This window comes from Homo sapiens, chromosome 15 (assembly GCF_000001405.40).
Source record: "Homo sapiens chromosome 15, GRCh38.p14 Primary Assembly".
In the NCBI taxonomy this organism is placed as follows: Eukaryota; Metazoa; Chordata; class Mammalia; order Primates; family Hominidae; genus Homo; species Homo sapiens.
In genome coordinates, this window is record NC_000015.10 from 80,136,741 (window position 1) to 80,154,950 (window position 18,210).

The following is an 18,210-nucleotide window of genomic DNA, read 5'->3' on the forward strand; positions in this document are numbered from 1 at the left end:
CAGGACCAGTTTTATTTAAAGACTGGCTGCACCCATTACATCTCGATTTTGGTTTTAACTCCAGGCATTTTCTTAAAATTAAGTAGCATTTATTGTGTGTTTTACCATATGTTCAGAATTAAATTCCTTCCTCATTTAATCCTTACTTATTATTATTCCAAAATTACAGATGCAGAAACTCAAGCTCAGAGAGGCTAATTTGCCTTCATTAGTAAGTAGATTGACACTGAGGCAGGCAGGCTCTAGATCCCGTGCTCTTCACCTCTCAACTGCAGTACAGTTCACATCTCCATGGGAGGTTAGCAGAGAAAAGCAAATATCGAAGCTGTGTTCTTTGTTAACAGTTCTTTCAGAGGTATTATTTGATCTTTCTTAAATAAATGCCAAGACTGCCTTCTGACAGTAGGCTTATTCTCACATCGTAGTGTTTGGATTTGAAAAATGTTTTACATTTTCAACCTAGCAACTGTGTTTTTGTTAAGAAGTAATTGTTGCCATATCACAGGTGAAGAAACAAGCTCAGAGGACTTTCTCTAGGGCAAACCTGCGTTTGTAGATAGGAATAAGAAATGAAGCTCTCAGGTAGTGAATAAGAATGTAGTTTGTGAGACAGTGTATTTAGAATGATTCTTTAGTTTACATTGCTGCCCTAAATATATTGTGCTGTTCAGTATTAATTATGCCAAAGACCTTAATATTTCATCCTTCAACTCATGTATGTGTATTACTCCATTTCCAGGGTTTGAATGCCGGTGTGGAAATGTTTACTGTGGTGTACACCGTTACTCAGATGTACACAATTGCTCTTACAATTACAAAGCCGATGCTGCTGAGAAAATCAGAAAAGAAAATCCAGTAGTTGTTGGTGAAAAGATCCAAAAGATTTGAACTCCTGCTGGAATACAAAATTCTTGAGCATCTGCAAACTAAAAATTGACTTGAGGTTTTTTTTTTCCTAGTCATTGGGAATGTAGAGCAGTGTATCTTGCATGTCATCGGAAGAATAGATTTTTGTTTTGGTTTTGTTTTGAAAATGACTCTGAACATTTATTTCCATTGCAATTTCTGTGGCTGAGGAGACTTAAACTTTACAAGTATTATCCTTTTAAGATCATTTTAATTTTAGTTGAGTGCAGAGGGCTTTTATAACAAACGTGCAGAAATTTTGGAGGGCTGTGATTTTTCCAGTATTAAACATGCATGCATTAATCTTGCAGTTTATTTTCTCATTGTGTATGTATATATCGCTTTTCTCTGCAGCACGATTTCTCTTTTGATAATGCCCTTTAGGGCACAACTAGTTATCAGTAACTGAATGTATCTTAATCATTATGGCTGCTTCTGTTTTTTCATTAACAAAGGTTATTCATATGTTAGCATATAGTTTCTTTGCACCCACTATTTATGTCTGAATCATTTGTCACAAGAGAGTGTGTGCTGATGAGATTGTAAGTTTGTGTGTTTAAACTTTTTTTTGAGCGAGGGAAGAAAAAGCTGTATGCATTTCATTGCTGTCTACAGGTTTCTTTCAGATTATGTTCATGGGTTTGTGTGTATACAATATGAAGAATGATCTGAAGTAATTGTGCTGTATTTATGTTTATTCACCAGTCTTTGATTAAATAAAAAGGAAAACCAGAATGCTCCCTTGTATTACTTTTTCTCTTATTCTTTCTGGTAGTTAATTTTATTTTTTGGTCTTTTAGTTTTCTACTTTCCTAATTTTGTAAGAGAACTACCATTATTTGTCTTGCATCTATTTGTGACTAAGCTTATGATCATGAATTGTAATTTTGTATTCCTCTGAGTTGAAGACCTGAGCATATCTTCAGAGGCAAGCACTCCTCTCTGTTACTTAAATGTATTTTTTAGTCCTTGTCTGATTCCCTTTTCTACACTGTCACACTCAATTAACATCTAATAGAAGCTTTTTCTTGTAGGATTGGAGAAATTTTAAGAGTATAATTCAAACTGCAGGGCAATTGTAGAATTGCGGAGTAGAAAGACCCTTGAAAGATCATTTGTCCTGTGGTTTTCAAATGTGTCTGGTAGCCAAACGTTTTTAAACATGAAATGTCATATAAAACAGATGAAGGCAATAATTTTACAATATAAATTTCTCAGTTTAAAATTATTTACTTACTTGCATGTTCTATTTAAATAAAGGATGGTTTAATTATCAAAATCTGTAAATTGATCACATTAACAGATTATAAAGAGAATAAACCGTTATGACTGTCTTAATAGATTCAGGTAGAGTAATAGAATTTAACAGCCATTCGTGATAAGAAAAATTAAACTTGACAAATTAAGACTAGAAAGGAATTTCCTTAAGCTGATAGTTCTATGTGAAATCAACAGCCAAACAAACAAAACCAAGCATCAGCTAAAAAGAGGAAACTTACTTCCTTTTAAAGTCAGAAACAAAGATGACTGCCCACTATTACTGCTTACTATTCAAAATTGTGTTGGAGATTATAATCAGTGGAGCAAGACAAGACAGAAAAATGATAAGAAAAGAGGTAGCACTCATTATTTGCACATTGTTTTTATAGAAAAATCATTACTAGAAATAATAGGGTTTAGTTAGGTAGCTAGATACAACATTCGTTTTTAGAAGACAGTTGCATTTCTTTACACCAGTTACCTAGAAAACCAGGAAACACCATTTGACAATAATACCAGAATCTTGGTTACCTAGGAAATTGACAATATATGTGGATGGCCTCCTCAAGAAAGAATTCTAAAACATTAAGGGATAATAGGAATTCAGTAAATAGATGTTAGTGGATAGGAAGACAGTATCAAAAAATGTCATCTGTCCCTCAGTAGGCATAGATTCAAGGTAATCCCAATCAAAATTCCACTTGATTTTTTTTCATGGAGCTTGTTTAGTTGATTGTAAAAGTAAAAGTTAAAAAGAGCAAAAGGCTAGAACATTTCAGAAGAGAGCAGGGAGACAGGGACTTGTCCTAAATGTCAGGACTCACTGTGAAGCCTTGTTAGTTAAAATAGCATGTTATTAGCTGATAGGGACAGACAGATACCTGAATTGAATAGATTGCCCAGAGAACTCTGCACGGACTGAACTTTGGTGTAAGAGAGAGGTGGCACATTGCATTCAGGAAAGGAGACTTCGATAATTAGAGCTAGAAGAATTGGTTTTCTGTATGAAAAAGGAAAAAACCCGTATGTTATGCCATAGGAAAAAAGGACTTAAAACAAAATTTGAAAACTCTCAGAAGAAAGATGGCTGCCTGTTAGGTCTTAGGATAGAGAGACTTCTTGGCCAGGCACAGTGGCTAACGTCGGTAATCCCATCACTTGGAGGCCGAGGCGGGCAGATCACAAGACCTGGCCAACATGGTGAAACCTCGTCTCTACTAAGAAATACAAAAATTAGCCAGGCGCAGTGGCACATGCCTGTAATCCCTACTACTAGGGAGGCTGAGGCAGGAAAATCACTTGAATCCGGAGGCAGAGGTTGCAGTGAGCTAAGATCGCACCACTGCACTCCAGCCTGGGTGACAGAGCAAGACTCCATCTCAAAAAATAAAAATAAAAAAAATAAGACACAAAGCATACTATAAATGTATTATTAATGAATTTATCTATTAAAAGGATATTTTATTCTCAAACACATTAAAGTATCTTCAAAGAATGTGAAAAGACAAAGGTGGGAGAAGTTCCACTGCAAATGAAGACTACCCATTCAAGCAACAAAAAATTAATCTGTCAGTATATAGTGTTGCCAAATTTCTGTGTGTTCTTGCATTGCTGGTGTTAGTGCAGTGGTTCAATCCTTGAGAAAGTTTGATACTGTCTTTTAAAGTGGAACTTTTACATACCCAATAGTCCAGAAATTGCACTCCCAAGTGCATACCTAGGAAAAACTTACACATAGATAAATGGGGGACCGCAGCCAGGAGCGGTGGCTCAAGCCTGTAATCCCAGCACTTTGGGAGGCCAAGGTGGATGGATCATGAGGTCAGGAGTTCGAGACCAGCATGGCCAAAACGGTGAAACCCCATTTCTACTAAAAATACAAAAATTAGCCAGGCACGGTGGCAGGTGCCTGTAATCCCAGCTACTGGGGAGGCTGAGGCAGGAGAATCTCGTGAACCCAAGAGGTGGAGATTGCAGTGAGCCAAGATCGCACCACTGCACTCTAGCCTGGGCAATAGAGTGAGATTCCATCTCAGAAAAAAAAAAAAGACAAATGGGGGACCACTACACGAAGTTTTATAGTGCTGTTTACAGAAGCAAAAGCCCAGAAACAAGTCTTCAAATCCCCAGTGAAGAAGAGTGGATGAATATAATGTGATATATTCATACACTGGAATAATACACTGTAACCAAAACTGCTGATCCATAGTGACACAACAAAATAGAAGCATATTATGCAAAAAAGTCTTCCAGTATAGTAAGCTTTAGAAATACAGGAAGAAGTGCAGTATAGTAAGCAAAACTAGTCTCAAAATATGCAACATGCTCACCTATAAACACTTTAAAATACATTCGCATGTAATAGGTTCCCCCCCCTCCCCCGAGACGGAGCCTTGTTCTGTTGCCCAGGCTGGAGTGCAGTGGCGCGATCTCGGCTCACTGCAAGCTCTGCCTCCCGGGTTCACGCCATTCTCCTGCCACAGCCTCCGGAGTAGCTGGGACTACAGGCGCCTGCCACCACGCCCGGAGACTTTTTTTTTTTTCGTATTTTTAGTGGAGACAGGGTTTCAACATGTTAGCCAGGATGGTCTGGATCTCCTGACCTTGAGATCTGCCCGCCTCGGCCTCCCAAAGTGCTGGGATTACAGGCATGAGCCACCGCGCCCGGCCGATTTTTTTTTTTTTTAGTAAAACGGAGTTTTGCTCTTGTTGCCCAGGCTGGAGTGCAATGGCACAATCTCAGCTCACGGCAACCTCCGCCTCCTGGGTTCAAGCAATTTCTCCTGCCTCAGCCTCCCGAGTAGCTGGGATTATAGGCATCTGCCACCACGCCCAGCTAATTTTGTGTTTTTAGTAGAGACGGTGTTTCACCATGTTGGTCAGGCTGGTCTCGAACTCCCGACCTCAGGTGATCTGCCCTCCTCGGTCTCCCAAAGTGCTGGAATTACAGGCGTGAGTCACCGCGCCCAGCCAATAGATTTTATGTGAAAAGAAAGCAGGATAATGATGATGAAAAAATTCAGAACAATGCCCTTAGATGAGAGGTGGCAAGGGATGCGCTAGTAAGTGGTACTATATGGTCAAAGCTCCAGCTTTCTTGGGGTTAGTAGAGTCAGGATGCTTATATTAGGAAACTAAAAGAGGCCATGTATGAACCAATGCTGAGAGTGTCTTGAACCAGGGATTATGATTAATCCAATATTCTGTACCGGAAGTCCAAAGTATCAAAAGCAGAAAGTTAATTATAAAGCTGTTTTGATGATCACATTTTAGAACTTGAAGGTTATGCAAGGAAAGGTGTTGAATCAGCCTCAGCATTCAATTTGTATTTCTTTTTAAAATTGTCACACATAAAAAACAAACATTCACAGTCTTCCAGTTTCACTACACCTAAATACACTGTTAATCAAGAGTTTTCTCGTACTTCAGTCTTCCATACTAATTTTTCTGGGATGTTTGTGCTCAAGTCTGGTGCAAAGTGTCCTCTCCCCTAGTTATCCTACAATGCTAACTTGTACTGCACAGTGCAGTCTTGAAATCATTCCTTTACTTCAAGCACAACTCAAAAGCCGTGTATTTTCTAATGTGAAAACAGTTTTTACTAAACTAACAATGGCTATACTTCCCCTTTCTCATAGTTTCCAGAACATCTTACCAAGACCAGCTCGGTCATGGAGACCCTAACCCAGTGGCGCTAGAGGAATTAAGACAAAGACACAGAGTGCAGAGTGGGAATCAGGGGGCTGACAGCCTTCAGAGCTGAGAACCCTAAACAGAGTTTGACCTGCATATTTATTGACAGCAAGCCAGTGATGAGAATTATTTCTATAGATTATAGATTAGCTAAAAGCCTTCCTTATGGGAAACAAAGGGACAGGCTCTGGCTTGTTATCCGCAGCTGGAACATGTCCTTAAGGCATAGATCGCTCATGCTATTGTTTGTGGTTTAGGTACGCCTTGAGCGGTTTTCTGCCCTGGGTGGGCCAGGTGTTCCTTGCCCTCATTCCAGTAAACCAGCAACCTCCAGCGTGGGTGTCATAGCCATCACAAGCATGTCACAGTGCTGTAGAGATTTGTTTATGGCCAGTTTCTCATGGCCTGTTTATGGCCAGATTTGGGGGACCTGTTCCCAGCAACATCTAAACAGATATTATTGGGAATTTAGGAAAGGATACTTTGTTGTGGTGTCTTTTCAGAGACTGGCTTCCTGGCCATTTTCCCTTCTTTTTATTAACACATAAGCATCAAGATTAATTCAGAAGGCCAGTAGAATAGAAAGTCAGAATGTGGAGATGGGAGACAGAATGTAACCAATGAAAGATGTTAACATCTGGAATGAAATCAAAGAATCTACGTAAAGACTCTTGAAACTTATAAGCAGTTATAGTAAGATTGCAGGATAAAAGGTTAATACAAAAAAAAAGGTGAATATATAATACAAAAGCCAATTGCTTTGCTATATACCAGCAATGAAAAATTTAAATTTAAAATTAAAAACACCATTCACACCAGGTGCAGTGGCTCACGACTGTAATCCCTGCACTTTGGGAGGCCGAGGCAGGTGGATCACGAGATCAAGAGATCAAGACCATCCTGGCCAAGATGGTGAAACCCTGTCTCTTCTAAAAATACAAAAAATCAGCTGGGCGTGGTGGCATGTGTGCCTATAGTCCCAGCTACTTGGGAGGCTGTGGCAAAAGAATCACTTGAATCCAGGAGGTGGAGGTTGCAGTGAGCCGAGATCATGCCACTGCACTCCAGCCTGGCGACAGAATGAGACTCCATCTCAAAAAAACAAAAAACAAACAAACAAAAACACCATTCACATTAGCCCCAACAAGAGGGAATGCTTAGGTATAAATCTAATAAAATATGACAAGATCTATGTGAAGAAGATGACAAAACTAATCAAGGAAATCAAAGATCATTTCAATAAATAGCTTTCATTTCAGTGCTAGGAAGACTCAATATTGTCAGTTCTTCCCACGTTAGTCTATAAGCTCAATGTGATTTCAGTCAAAATCCTAGCATGTTATTTTGTGGATAGCAACAAAGTAATTCTAAAGTTTATGTGGAGGGGCAAAGGCCCAAAATGGCCAATGCGATACTGAAGAACAAAGACTGATGCTACCCAACTTAAACACCTACTATAAAGCTCCCATAATAAAGACTGGTATTTGCAGAATATATCAGAGAGCCCAGAAATAAACCAATACAAATATAGTCAACTGATCTTTGACAAAGAAGAGAAGACAATTCATGGAGAAAGTCTTTTTCATAGGAATACTTTTTCAAGCAGTAGTGATCAGCTGTACATTTACATGCAAAAAAAGTCAATCTAGACACCTTGAACCTTTCACAAAAGTTAACTCAAAATTTATCATAGACATAAATGTAAAACACAAAAATGTAAAACTTAGAATATAAGAAATTCAAGGTTTGGTTTCGATTTTTCTAAGTAAAACACTAAAAGCATAACTTGGGAAAGAAAAATTATTGATGACTTGGACTCTGTTAAAGTTAAAAACTGCTCTGCAGAAGCTGCTGTTAAGAAAATTAAAAGACAAGCCACAGACTTGGAAAAAATTAGCAAAACACATAAAGGGCTTTCATTTAACATATACAAAAAACTCTTAAAAGCTTAATTGTATGAAAACAGTCCAACCTAAAAATGGGCAAAATATCTGAATAGATATCAAAGAAGATACACTGATAGCAATTAAAAAAAAAAAAGCCTGCAGCCTCAGCTACTCAGGAGGCTGAGGTAGGAGAGTCACTTGAGGCCAGGAGTTTGAGTTTGGTCTGGGCAACATAGTGAGACCCCATTTCTAAAAATTTTTTTTAATGATTTAATAAAGTATACTTGGTTAAAAAGCAAAAGTGTCCACACAAAAACTTGCACACTGACATTTTAGCAGCTTTATCCTTAATTGCCAAAAATTGGGAGCAACCAAGATGTCCTTCAATAGGTGAACAAACAAACTGTGGAACATTTATACAGTGAAACAGTATTCAACAAAAATAGAAAGGAACTTTCAGGGCAGGAAAAGACATAGAAGAATCTTAATGCATATCGCTAAGTGAAAGAACCCAATCTTAAAAGCTACATACTATATGATTCCAATTATATGACATTCTGGAAAAGTCAAGACTACAGAGACAGTAAAGAGATAAGTGGCTGCCAGCGGTCCAGGGGATGAATAGAAGTAGCAGAAGGGATTTTTGGAAATTAAGAAAACAATCTCATTTACAATAGCTACCAAAAAACCCCCAACCAAACAAAACACTTGGGAATAAATTTAACCAAGGAGGTGAAGGACCTGTACACTGATAACTAGAAAACATCAATGAAAGAAATTGAAGAAAACAGAAATAAATGAAAAGATATGGCCAGGCGCGGTGGCTCAAGCCTGTAATTCCAGCACTTTGGGAGGCCGAGGCAGACAGATCACCTGAGTTGGGAGTTCGAAACCACCCTGCCAACATGGAGAAACCCTGTCTCTACTAAAAATACAAAATTAGCCAGGCGTGGTGGCGCATGCCTGTAATCCCAGCTACTCTGGAGGCTGAGGCAGGAGAATCGCTTGAACCTGGGAGGTGGAGGTTGCGGTGAGCAAAGATCGCGCCACTGCACTCCAGCTTGGACAGACAACAAGAGCGAAACTCCGTCTCAAAAAAAAAAAAAACAACATAAAAGATATCCCATGTTCATAGATTGGAAGACTTAATATTGTTAAAATGTCCATACTACCCAAAGCAATCTACAAATTCAATGGAATCCCTGTCAAAATTGTAACGATATTTTTCACAGAAACAAACAAACAAATCCTAAAACATGTATGGAACTGCAAAAGACGCTGAATAGCTAAAGCACTCTTGAGCAAAAAGAACAAAGCTGGAGGCATCACACTATCTGACTTCAACATCTACTACAAAGCAGCCAGATGTGGTGGCTCATGCCTGTAATTCCAGCACTTCGGGAGGCTGAGGCAGGAGGATCACTTGAGCCCAGGAGTTTGAGACCAGCCTACACAACATAGCTAGACTCCATCTCTACATTTTTTTTTTAAATATTGGCCAGGCATGGTGGCAGATGCCTATAGTCCCAGCTATGCAGAAGACTAAGGTGGGAGGATCACTTGAGCCACTGGGAGGTTGAGGCTGCAGTGAGCCGTGATCATATCACTGAATTCCAGCCAGAGAACAGAGCAAAACCCTGTCTCTAAAGCAAAGCAAAACAAAACAAAATGAATCTACTATATAGCTATAGTAATCAAAACAACATGGTGCTGGCATAATAACAGACATATTGAACAGAATAGAGAGCCCAGGAATAAATCCACAGATTTACAGCCAGTTGATTTTTCACAAAAGTGCTGAGAATACGTGATGGGGAAAGGACAGTCTCTTCAATAAATGATGTTGGGAAAATTGGATATCCACATGTGGAAGAATGAAATTAGACCCTTATCTCACACCATATATAAAAATCAACTCAAAATGGATTAAAAACGTAAACTTAAGAAATGAAACTGTAAAACTAGAAGAAAATGGGAAAAGCTCCATGTCATTGGTCTGGGCAATGATTTTTTGGATATGAACCCAAAAGCACAGGCAACAAAAGCAAATACAGACAGATGCGATTATATCAGGCTAAAAAGCTTCTGTATAGCCAAGGAAACAATCGACAAGAAAAAACCTAGGAAGTGGGAGAAAACATTTGCAAACCACACATCTGATATGGAATTAGAATCTAAAATAAATAATGAAGTCAAACAACTCAATAGCAAGAAAACAAGTAACCTAATTCTTAAAAAATGAGTAATGGATATGAATAGACATTTCCCAAAAGACATAAAAATGGCCAACAGGTATGTGAAAAAATGCTCAACATCATTATCAGAAAAATGCAAAATAAAACCACGATGAGATATCATCTCACACCTGTTAGAATGGCTATTATCAAAAAAACAAAAGACAGCAAGTATTGCAGAGGCTGTGGAAAACAGGGAACCCTTGTACTTTGTTGGTGGGAATGTAAATTAGTACCGCCATTATGGACAACATAGGGGTTCCTCAAAAAATTAAAACTAGCGCCACCATATAATTCAGCAATCCCTCTGCTAAGTATATATCCAAAGGATATGAAATCAGTATGTCATAGAGATACCTGCACCTCCATGTTCATTGTAGCATTATTCACAATAGCCAAGATATGAAATCAAACTGAGTGTCCATCAGCAGATGAATGGATAAACAAAAGGTTTGTATACACAATGGAATACTATTCAGCCATAAAAAGAAATCCTGTCATTTATGACAACATGGATGAAGCTGGAAGACATTATATTAAATGAAATAAGCCAGATGCAGAACAACAAATACTGCATGATCTCACTTACATGTGGAATCCCAGAAAAAGTTGAAGTCAGAAGTAGAATAGAATGATGGTTACCAGGGGGTAAGGGCTGGGAGGTTGGGGAGATATTGGTTAAAGCCCACAAAATTTCAGATAGGAGGAATAAGTTCAAGAGATCTATTGGAAAATATGCTGACTATAATTAATAACCGTATTTTTTTTTTTTTTAGTCCAACTGAGTCTTGCTCTGTTGCCCAGGCTGGAGTGCGGTGGCGCAATCTCAGCTCACTGCAACCTCCACCTCCCGGGTTCAAGTGATTCTCCTGCCTCAGCCTCCCGAGTAGCTGGGACTACAGGCACGTGCCACCACACCCAGCTAATCTTTGTATTTTTAGTAGAGAGGGGGTTTCACCGTGTTAGCAAGGATGGTCTCGATCTCCTGACTTTGTGATCCACCCGCCTTGGCCTCCCAAAGTGCTGGGATTACAGGCGTGAGCCACCACGCCTGGCCTTATTATATTCTTGAAAATTGCCAAGAGAGTAGATTTCAAATGTTCTCAGGACAAAAAAAATGAAAAGTGAGGTAATGTTTATGTTAAGTAGCTCAACTTAGCCATTGTGCAATGTGTACCTATTTCAGAATGACATGTTTTACATGATAAATATGTATAATTTTTATTTGTCAGCTAAAAAAGTAAAAAAGAATTCTCCAGGTGTTGTCCCAGACAGCCGCTGAGATGTGGAACACATCTGACAACAACAATCAGAATCCTGGTGAGGAGGGAGGGCAGGACAGAATGCTCTCACACAGGATGTTCTTAGACAGAGTCAATCTACTTCTCATGTTGCATGTTATACTTTTATGTACATTAGTGATGGGGAGGTAAGGAAGAGGAAAACAGGATTGCTGACATTTATTGAGAACTTTCTGTGTGTCCCACAATATGCTGAGAGTTTTTGCAGGGGTTTTCTTATTTGATCTTCTAAACAACCTTACAAGGCAGGTATCGTTTTTATTATTTCATTTTTCCAATGCATGAAATTAAGATTTGGTGAGGTACAGTAACCTAAACCCAAACTCAATATGAACGTTCTAGAAAGAGATTTCAAATCTTTCTTATTTGAAACCTTAACATATATATTCTTACAGCTGGGTGCAGGGGCTCACGCCTGTAATCCCAGCAACTTGGGAGGCTGAGGTGGGCAGATCACGAGGTCAGGAGTTCAAGACGAGCCTGACCAACATGGTGAAACCCCATCTCTACCAAAAATACAAAAATTAGCCAGGTGTGGTGGTGTGAGCCTGTAATCCCAGCTAGTTGGGAGGCTGAGGCAGGAGAATCACTTGAACCTGGGAGGTGGAGGTTGCCGTGAACCGAGATCGTGCTACTGCACTCCAGCCTGGGCAACAGAGCGAGACTTTGTCTCAAAACAAAACAAAACAAAACAAAACAAAACATAACAAAAAACAAACCAACAACAACAACAACAGACATATATATTCTGTTACCACATACTGTTTCCTTTTGTTCAACATCTAGGGAAAGGGCCACAAGGAAAAATCATGCCTAACCAACTTTAGTGTGTGTGTGTGTGTGTGTGTGTGTGTGTGTGTGTGTGTGACAGAGAGAGAGAGAGAGAGAGAGAAAGAGAGAGCGAAAGAGAGACAGGGAAATTTTAGTGTGGATTTATTGTTGACAAACTAAACAATGTTTGCAGAGAGAGGCACTGAGAATGATCTATTCAGCTGTGCCAAACAGGTTGAATACAGAGGTTGTAACTTATGTGTCAACATTCCTCTGTATTTCTGGGAGCAGAGTGGGATCCACAGCTATAGCTCAAAAAGGCACCGAACATTTGGATGGGAAAAAAGGGATAATTCAGATGGGAAAACTATTGAATATGTATTTAGTTATAAGAAAACAAAACAAAATTAGAAGTATTTTGTTGAAATAACAGTGAGGGAGAGTCTAAAAAGTGGCTCCTGCTTTGATAATGGTAACAGAGAACTCATTATATGGTACACATTATTAAGTCAGATGGCAATGACATGTTCTTTATTTAAGGTGCTGCTTGTTATTTGTGAGTCTTGCAAATCCAGCTTAAATCCAAAATGGATTTGAGGTAGTATTCCATCAGAACATAGACACAATAGTACCTGAAACAGACTAAAGACAGAATTAAAGAGGGCAGGAAGAAGAAAATTTATATTGCAGAAAACCTAGCCCTGGTTGAGCTGGTTCACCTAGGACTTCATCCAATCCCCTTCTCCCCACCCTACAACATGCACTTGCACTTGAATTACTTACGTTCAGTTCCAAGATCCTCTAAATTTTGAACTCCTTTGAGAGGACAGAATGTCATGTATATTTGCACATGACATATATTCTTGATACTAAAATGTACTGGACACATGCCAAACCCATGATGCCCACTACAAAATGTGTACCATAAACATCACTGAGCTCAGACCTGAAAAAGAGAGGACACTTACTTTGCTAAAGTGCTTGGCCTTTGACATAGTTTCCTCTTTTTCTTGACGACCATGCAGCAGTGCTGAATGTTGCAAAAAAGGCCACCCCATCCTGCTTCCCAGTGCAGGCAGCGTCCACACCTTGCTTATCTGAATGGCAACTGCCAGCTTCTCAGAGCCGTTGCAAGACATTAGTGTCCTGGATCTGGAAAGTTCTCTCTCAGCTCTCTTGTAAAGGAGTGAGGGACATGCTTTGTGTGAATGAGGGCTGCAGTGCAGTGTGTTGCTTTTTAGCATCAGAGGGAGGCATTAAATATGGTGCTACAGAGACCCAAACCAGCCTTCATTGCTGGAGATGCTGAAACTCACTGCGAGTCCTGAAAGTGTTCATACTCTTTGAGTCAGGAATCTTCCTTAGATAATTGTCAAGGAAAAGGAAAACATTCTGTGCATGCACCTCTTCATTGAACCGTTATTATTACCATCTAAAACATTGCGACTTCCTTAGCTAATGACAATGATCATAATAAAGCCTATTGGGCCTCAAGGAAAAATATTCAAGAGAATAAGGTAGGGAAAGACTGAAAAATTGCATCTATGTAAAGTTTATAAGGATGGAAAAGCCATGTGCATACAAATGGAATGAAAAAAAAACATGAAAATGAGAAGACTACATTGGTGGGATTATGGGCAATCTCTTTGTTTTAAAATTCTTTTTAAATAATTGTTGTGATATACGTGGCCAACACATTCTCTTCCAAAAAATGAGAAAGAAAAAATATAGTATACTTGCAAGTTATTTCAAATGCTGTTTTCCAAATAGAGAACAGCTTTGGCGTTTTCAGACACTGTGTATAATTAGTGGGTTGGTTAAGTCTATTTTAAAACTATGAAATCTTACTCCCTCTTTAGCCATCTCATCCCCACACCCTTTCCTACACATACATCTGCCCCATGTCCTTTCCCTAAAATACTTTGGTTTTCTTTCTCCAAGGGTTTTATCATTTAGGCTTTTGTTAACTTGTATGTATTCAGTAGAAGCTCCTGGCCTAGCATCCCCCACACAACACATGCTCCATAAAAACAGGAATTAAAGATGTGAGTTGCTGGTGTATCCCCATGGCCTGGCATAGGGCATGGGCTTATTAGTTATTGCTTCATTTCCTTTTGGTCAACAGTTTTATATTAATGACATGTATTTATGGAGAACCTATTCTGTGCCAGGTGTTTTGCTGGGTATTGACAGAGTTGCACATGGAATAAGAAAGCTCGTGGTTTTAATGGGAAGGGGCAGGGCAACTACAGAACGTGGAAATAATTCATTGCGTTGCAGCTGAGGACTAGCTTGAATTAGGCAGGTATCAAGTGCTCCCTGGAATGCCTCTTTATAAGGCCACCAAGTTGGGATACTCTCCTCTTCTTTTCCTCTTTCAGGAACCTACCAGAACAAATCAGACCACCTTCATTCCCTCCCCAGGGCTGACTTAAAAGAACTGAAGCCAGTCCTTGGCAGAGCCACTCAGGGCAGGAGATGAGAGCCAAGAGGCTGTGCCCAGATTACACTCCTTACTGGGTGATGATCACTGGTCACGCCTGGTGGACAGGCACCAGAGTGATCTCAGGGGCTAGGAAGGGGGGCTCAACAGCGGGCCCTGCTTGCCGTACTCGCTCCTCTCAAGCCGTCTGGTTTCAAGCCCACTTAGCTCACATTATCCTGCCATCTTCCAGCCTCTTCTCCCTAAGCTGAAATGCGGAGCAGCCTCCCTAACTCAGCAGTCACTGTGTCACATTCCTCAAGGATCTTCAGGGAACCCTTGCCCAGACTATCGTCTACTTTTCTAGATTTCAGCCGGCATCCTGGCTGTTTAAAAGTGTACCTGAATCATTCACACCAACAATAACACAACGACACACTCTCCGGTGTGTTCCAAGTGTCCTGGCTGTGGCATGGTCTCAAAAAACTGCAGCTGACTGCACATGAGTGATTAGATAACACCTTGAACCCACCCTAAGATAGTCTGCCTTTCCCTTCTTTCCTGTCTTCCTTCTTTTCTTTCTCCCTCTCTCTCTTCTCCTATTTCTCTTTTATCTTTCCTTTCCTTTATCCCCCTCCCCTCCTTTCCTCTTTTTCCCTCCCTTCTCTCTCTTTCCACACACACATAACCTGTATATGCCAGGCACTATTCTAGGTGCTTCACAAATATTAATTCATTCCATTCTTATATCAACTTTGTGAAGTAGGAACTATTATCATCAACATTATACAGAGAAGGAAGCTGAGGTAGAGAAAGTTTAAGTAACTTGTCCAAGGTTGAGCATCTTGTCAACGTCATTTTACTACTGGCATGTGAAACAGGTGAGTTATATTTTTTAGAATATTAATTCTCATTAATTGAAGCCTTCCAAACAGGCCTAACTGTCCCCTTCTCTGACATACAAGTGGAAGTGTCATAGCTGGACGGAGCATCATGGTATGAAGGCAGAAAGGACGCGACTGGGTGTTCTTCTGAAGCTCAGGGAGCAGCTCTTGGGGAGAAAGTGTTTCCAGGAAGCGGACAAGAGTTCTGTTGAGCTGAAGAGCAGGGCAGCAGCCGGGGCGAGCGAGGCTGGAGTCATGCAGGGCAGAGCCTTAAATGCTAAGCTGGGGTTTGCTCTCGGTAGGACCAGCTAGCTGCCCCGAGCGGGGGCTGGAACCAGATCTCCCCCACGTGGACTCGCGGACAGGGCGGGGATCAGGACGGGGGCGGGGCCAGGGGAGGGGCGGGGCTCGGGGAGTGAGGCAAGACTGGAGGGCCTGGGACTCTCGGGTACCCGGGCCAGGGGAGGGGCGGGGCTCAGGGAGGGAGGGAGAGACTGGATGACCTGGGGCTTGCAAGGCGGGGCGAGGGGAGGGGCGGGGCGAGGGGAGGGGCGGGGCTCAGGGAGGGAGGGTGAGACTGTGGAGGACCTGGGGCTCGCGGGGTCGGGGCAAGGGGAGGGGCGGGGCTCAGGGAGGGAGGAGAGACTGGAGGACCTGAGGCCCACGGGGGCGGGGCCAGGGGCGGGGCGGGGCTCTGGAAGGGCGGGCGAGACTGTGGAGGACCTGGAGCTGGCGGGGGTCAGGGTAGGGGGGAGGGGCAGGGCTCGGGGTTCGGGGGCGGGGTGTTCACGGTGAGACCAAAAGTCAGGTAGGAGCCTCCGGGGTCCCTGCTGTGTCACCCGGACAGGCCGTGGGGGCGGGCAGGGGGGCGGGGCCGGGCCTGACCACAGCGGCCGAGTTCAGTCCTGCTCTCCGCACGCCACCTTAGGCCCGCAGCCGTGCCGGGTGCTCTTCAGCATGTCCTTCATCCCGGTGGCCGAGGATTCCGACTTCCCCATCCACAACCTGCCCTACGGCGTCTTCTCGACCAGAGGCGACGTGAGCAGTGGGGCTTTGGCGTCCGGGCGCGGGGAGGGAGTGGAGTGGAGTGGAGTGGAGTGGAGTGGAGTGGAGTGGAATGGAGTGGAATGAGGGGCGGGATGGAGGCTTGTGCCATTTTTCTCTTAAGATTCGTTCCGTGAGAGTGCCTATGGGCTCGAGTCCCGCCTCGTAACTTTCTAGCTGTGCACGTTGTTTAACTTTTCAGCCTCATTGTCCGCAGGTTTGCTGAGAATTAAATGCAAAATGAAATGAATCGTGTCACTCTCCCAGACAAGCAGAGCAAGCAGGATTCTGTTACCGGAAGCTGCAGCACACAGGCATGCTGCCTACTCCGAGGTGGTTGCGGTGTGTTTCTCTCGCCCAAGAGGCCAGGTCAGGGCTGGTGGTTCATCTCGCTGGATAGCCCCTAACCCTAGAACCCGGGAAATGATAACCCGGTATGCGTAGCAGGTCAGAGGGGCACGCGCGTTTCTTGGCTTAGAGTTGTGAGATCTAAGATGGCAAGTGTCTCTGCCTATAGCTGAAATTCTTTCAGCTCCTGGTGTGGGCTCCCTGGCATTCCCCTACTGATCAGAAGAAAGAGGGCAGGGAAACAAACTTTGACTAAGTCAGTGTAGTCTGATTGGTAGAAAGAAGTATTTGAAAACTGGGGGTTTATCAGCAAATAGATAATAAGAGGTTCCCTAGGTTGGAAAAGCAGATTCCCTTGGATTTGTTGATGATATTTTTGGCTTAGATTTCTGCTCCCAACTTTAAAGGTAAACTCCTGATTCATCTCTGTAAGCCATAGAACCCCAGAATCAGGAAATGTTTGCTAAACGAGGGGCCTGGCAGTTGGCTTCTTCTTGGAAAGTGGGGTTCCCTCCTTCCCCCATGGCTTGTCATTGGATGCAAGTGGCTGGCCTTTTGTGGGCCTGTCTGCGGTAAGTGCTTTGGTCTAGAAGAGTCAACTTGTGGTTTCACATCTGGCCGGGCTGACCAGATGTTGCAAGGATACAGAAAGTGGACACTCAATCCCCTGGAGGACACAATCTGAGGCACATTAAATCTTAACTTGTGATGGCCAACAACCTTTCTGCAGACAGAGCCCTCCCTCTGCCCTCCTCAAACACTTTGCCCTCGGCAGATGTGTCCTCCCTCACCTTTCCTGGGAGCACAAATCCATTAGACAGAAACATTTGTGAGAGGCAGGCACACCCCAGTAGGGAGCTCTGACTTGCTTTCTCAGGGGAATCGAATTAATATCCGTTAGAGTGTGGCTAGGTGTTTTCAGACACCATGTCCCGCTGTTTCAACATCAGAATGTGCAGGGCAGCCACTACAGATGTCTGGAAGAGAGAGCCCCATTCCGCTGTCCTCTGATACAGTGCTGGGGGTGGAGAGTTGGCCCTTTGGCCTTCCAGCTGAACAAGCCTCTTCTGAAGCTTTCTCTGCAGGCATTGGACATTCCAACCGTGATGGCTGCCTTGCCAGGCAAGACTAGTTGCCAAGGCAAAACCTCCCTTCCCCCATGTCAGCAGTCAGCCTTTCCTAATTTGAGTGGAATAACAATGAATCCTGCCATCACTTTATTCATTTTTTTTTATTCAGCGAATGCTTATGAACCCCAACTCTGGTCCAGATTTTGCCTGGGCTCCGAGTTGGCATCAAAGACACAGGAGACGCCTTCCTTCCATTTCTGGTTGATGGACTAGTAAGGTGTACAGGGGTGCTCTCTGTGAAGGTAGGGGTGGTGGCCTCTGAGAACGGGGTTGTAGTAGTGTGGAGCTGGTTTTGCCGGGTGCCTTGTTAAAGTCCCCGTGGTCTGGCTGT

General features: G+C 42.3%; 2 protein-coding genes across 21 annotated transcripts in view, besides 1 other annotated feature; both read left to right on the forward strand.

The window, feature by feature from the left end:
* Nucleotides 1-1,653, forward strand: part of ZFAND6 (zinc finger AN1-type containing 6) — a 79,443-nt gene extending 77,790 nt beyond the window's left edge. For all 18 annotated transcript variants that reach the window (XM_047432697.1, NM_001242912.2, NM_019006.4 and 15 more), the window contains one exon: nucleotides 740-1,653. In XM_047432697.1, coding sequence (XP_047288653.1) covers nucleotides 740-888 — 149 coding nt within the window. In that variant the 3' untranslated portion in view covers nucleotides 889-1,653. The remainder of the gene's footprint in view (nucleotides 1-739) is intronic.
* Nucleotides 15,688-16,247: a silencer, noted in NCBI's record as "silent region_6731". NCBI's record gives its function as "represses an Ori minimal core promoter by ATAC-STARR-seq in GM12878 lymphoblastoid cells {active_cell/tissue: GM12878}" and the evidence as "EXISTENCE:reporter gene assay evidence [ECO:0000049][PMID:35858748]".
* FAH (fumarylacetoacetate hydrolase) overlaps nucleotides 16,049-18,210 on the forward strand; it is a 34,161-nt gene continuing 31,999 nt past the window's right edge. The window contains exons 1-2 of one of the 3 annotated variants that reach the window (NM_001374377.1): nucleotides 16,049-16,165; nucleotides 16,286-16,395. In NM_001374377.1, the coding sequence (NP_001361306.1) occupies nucleotides 16,315-16,395 (81 nt within the window). In that variant the 5' untranslated portion in view covers nucleotides 16,049-16,165; nucleotides 16,286-16,314. Of the gene's footprint in view, nucleotides 16,166-16,258; nucleotides 16,396-18,210 lie in introns of those variants that run through there. The other 2 variants (NM_001374380.1, NM_000137.4) reach the window with 2 other exon arrangements.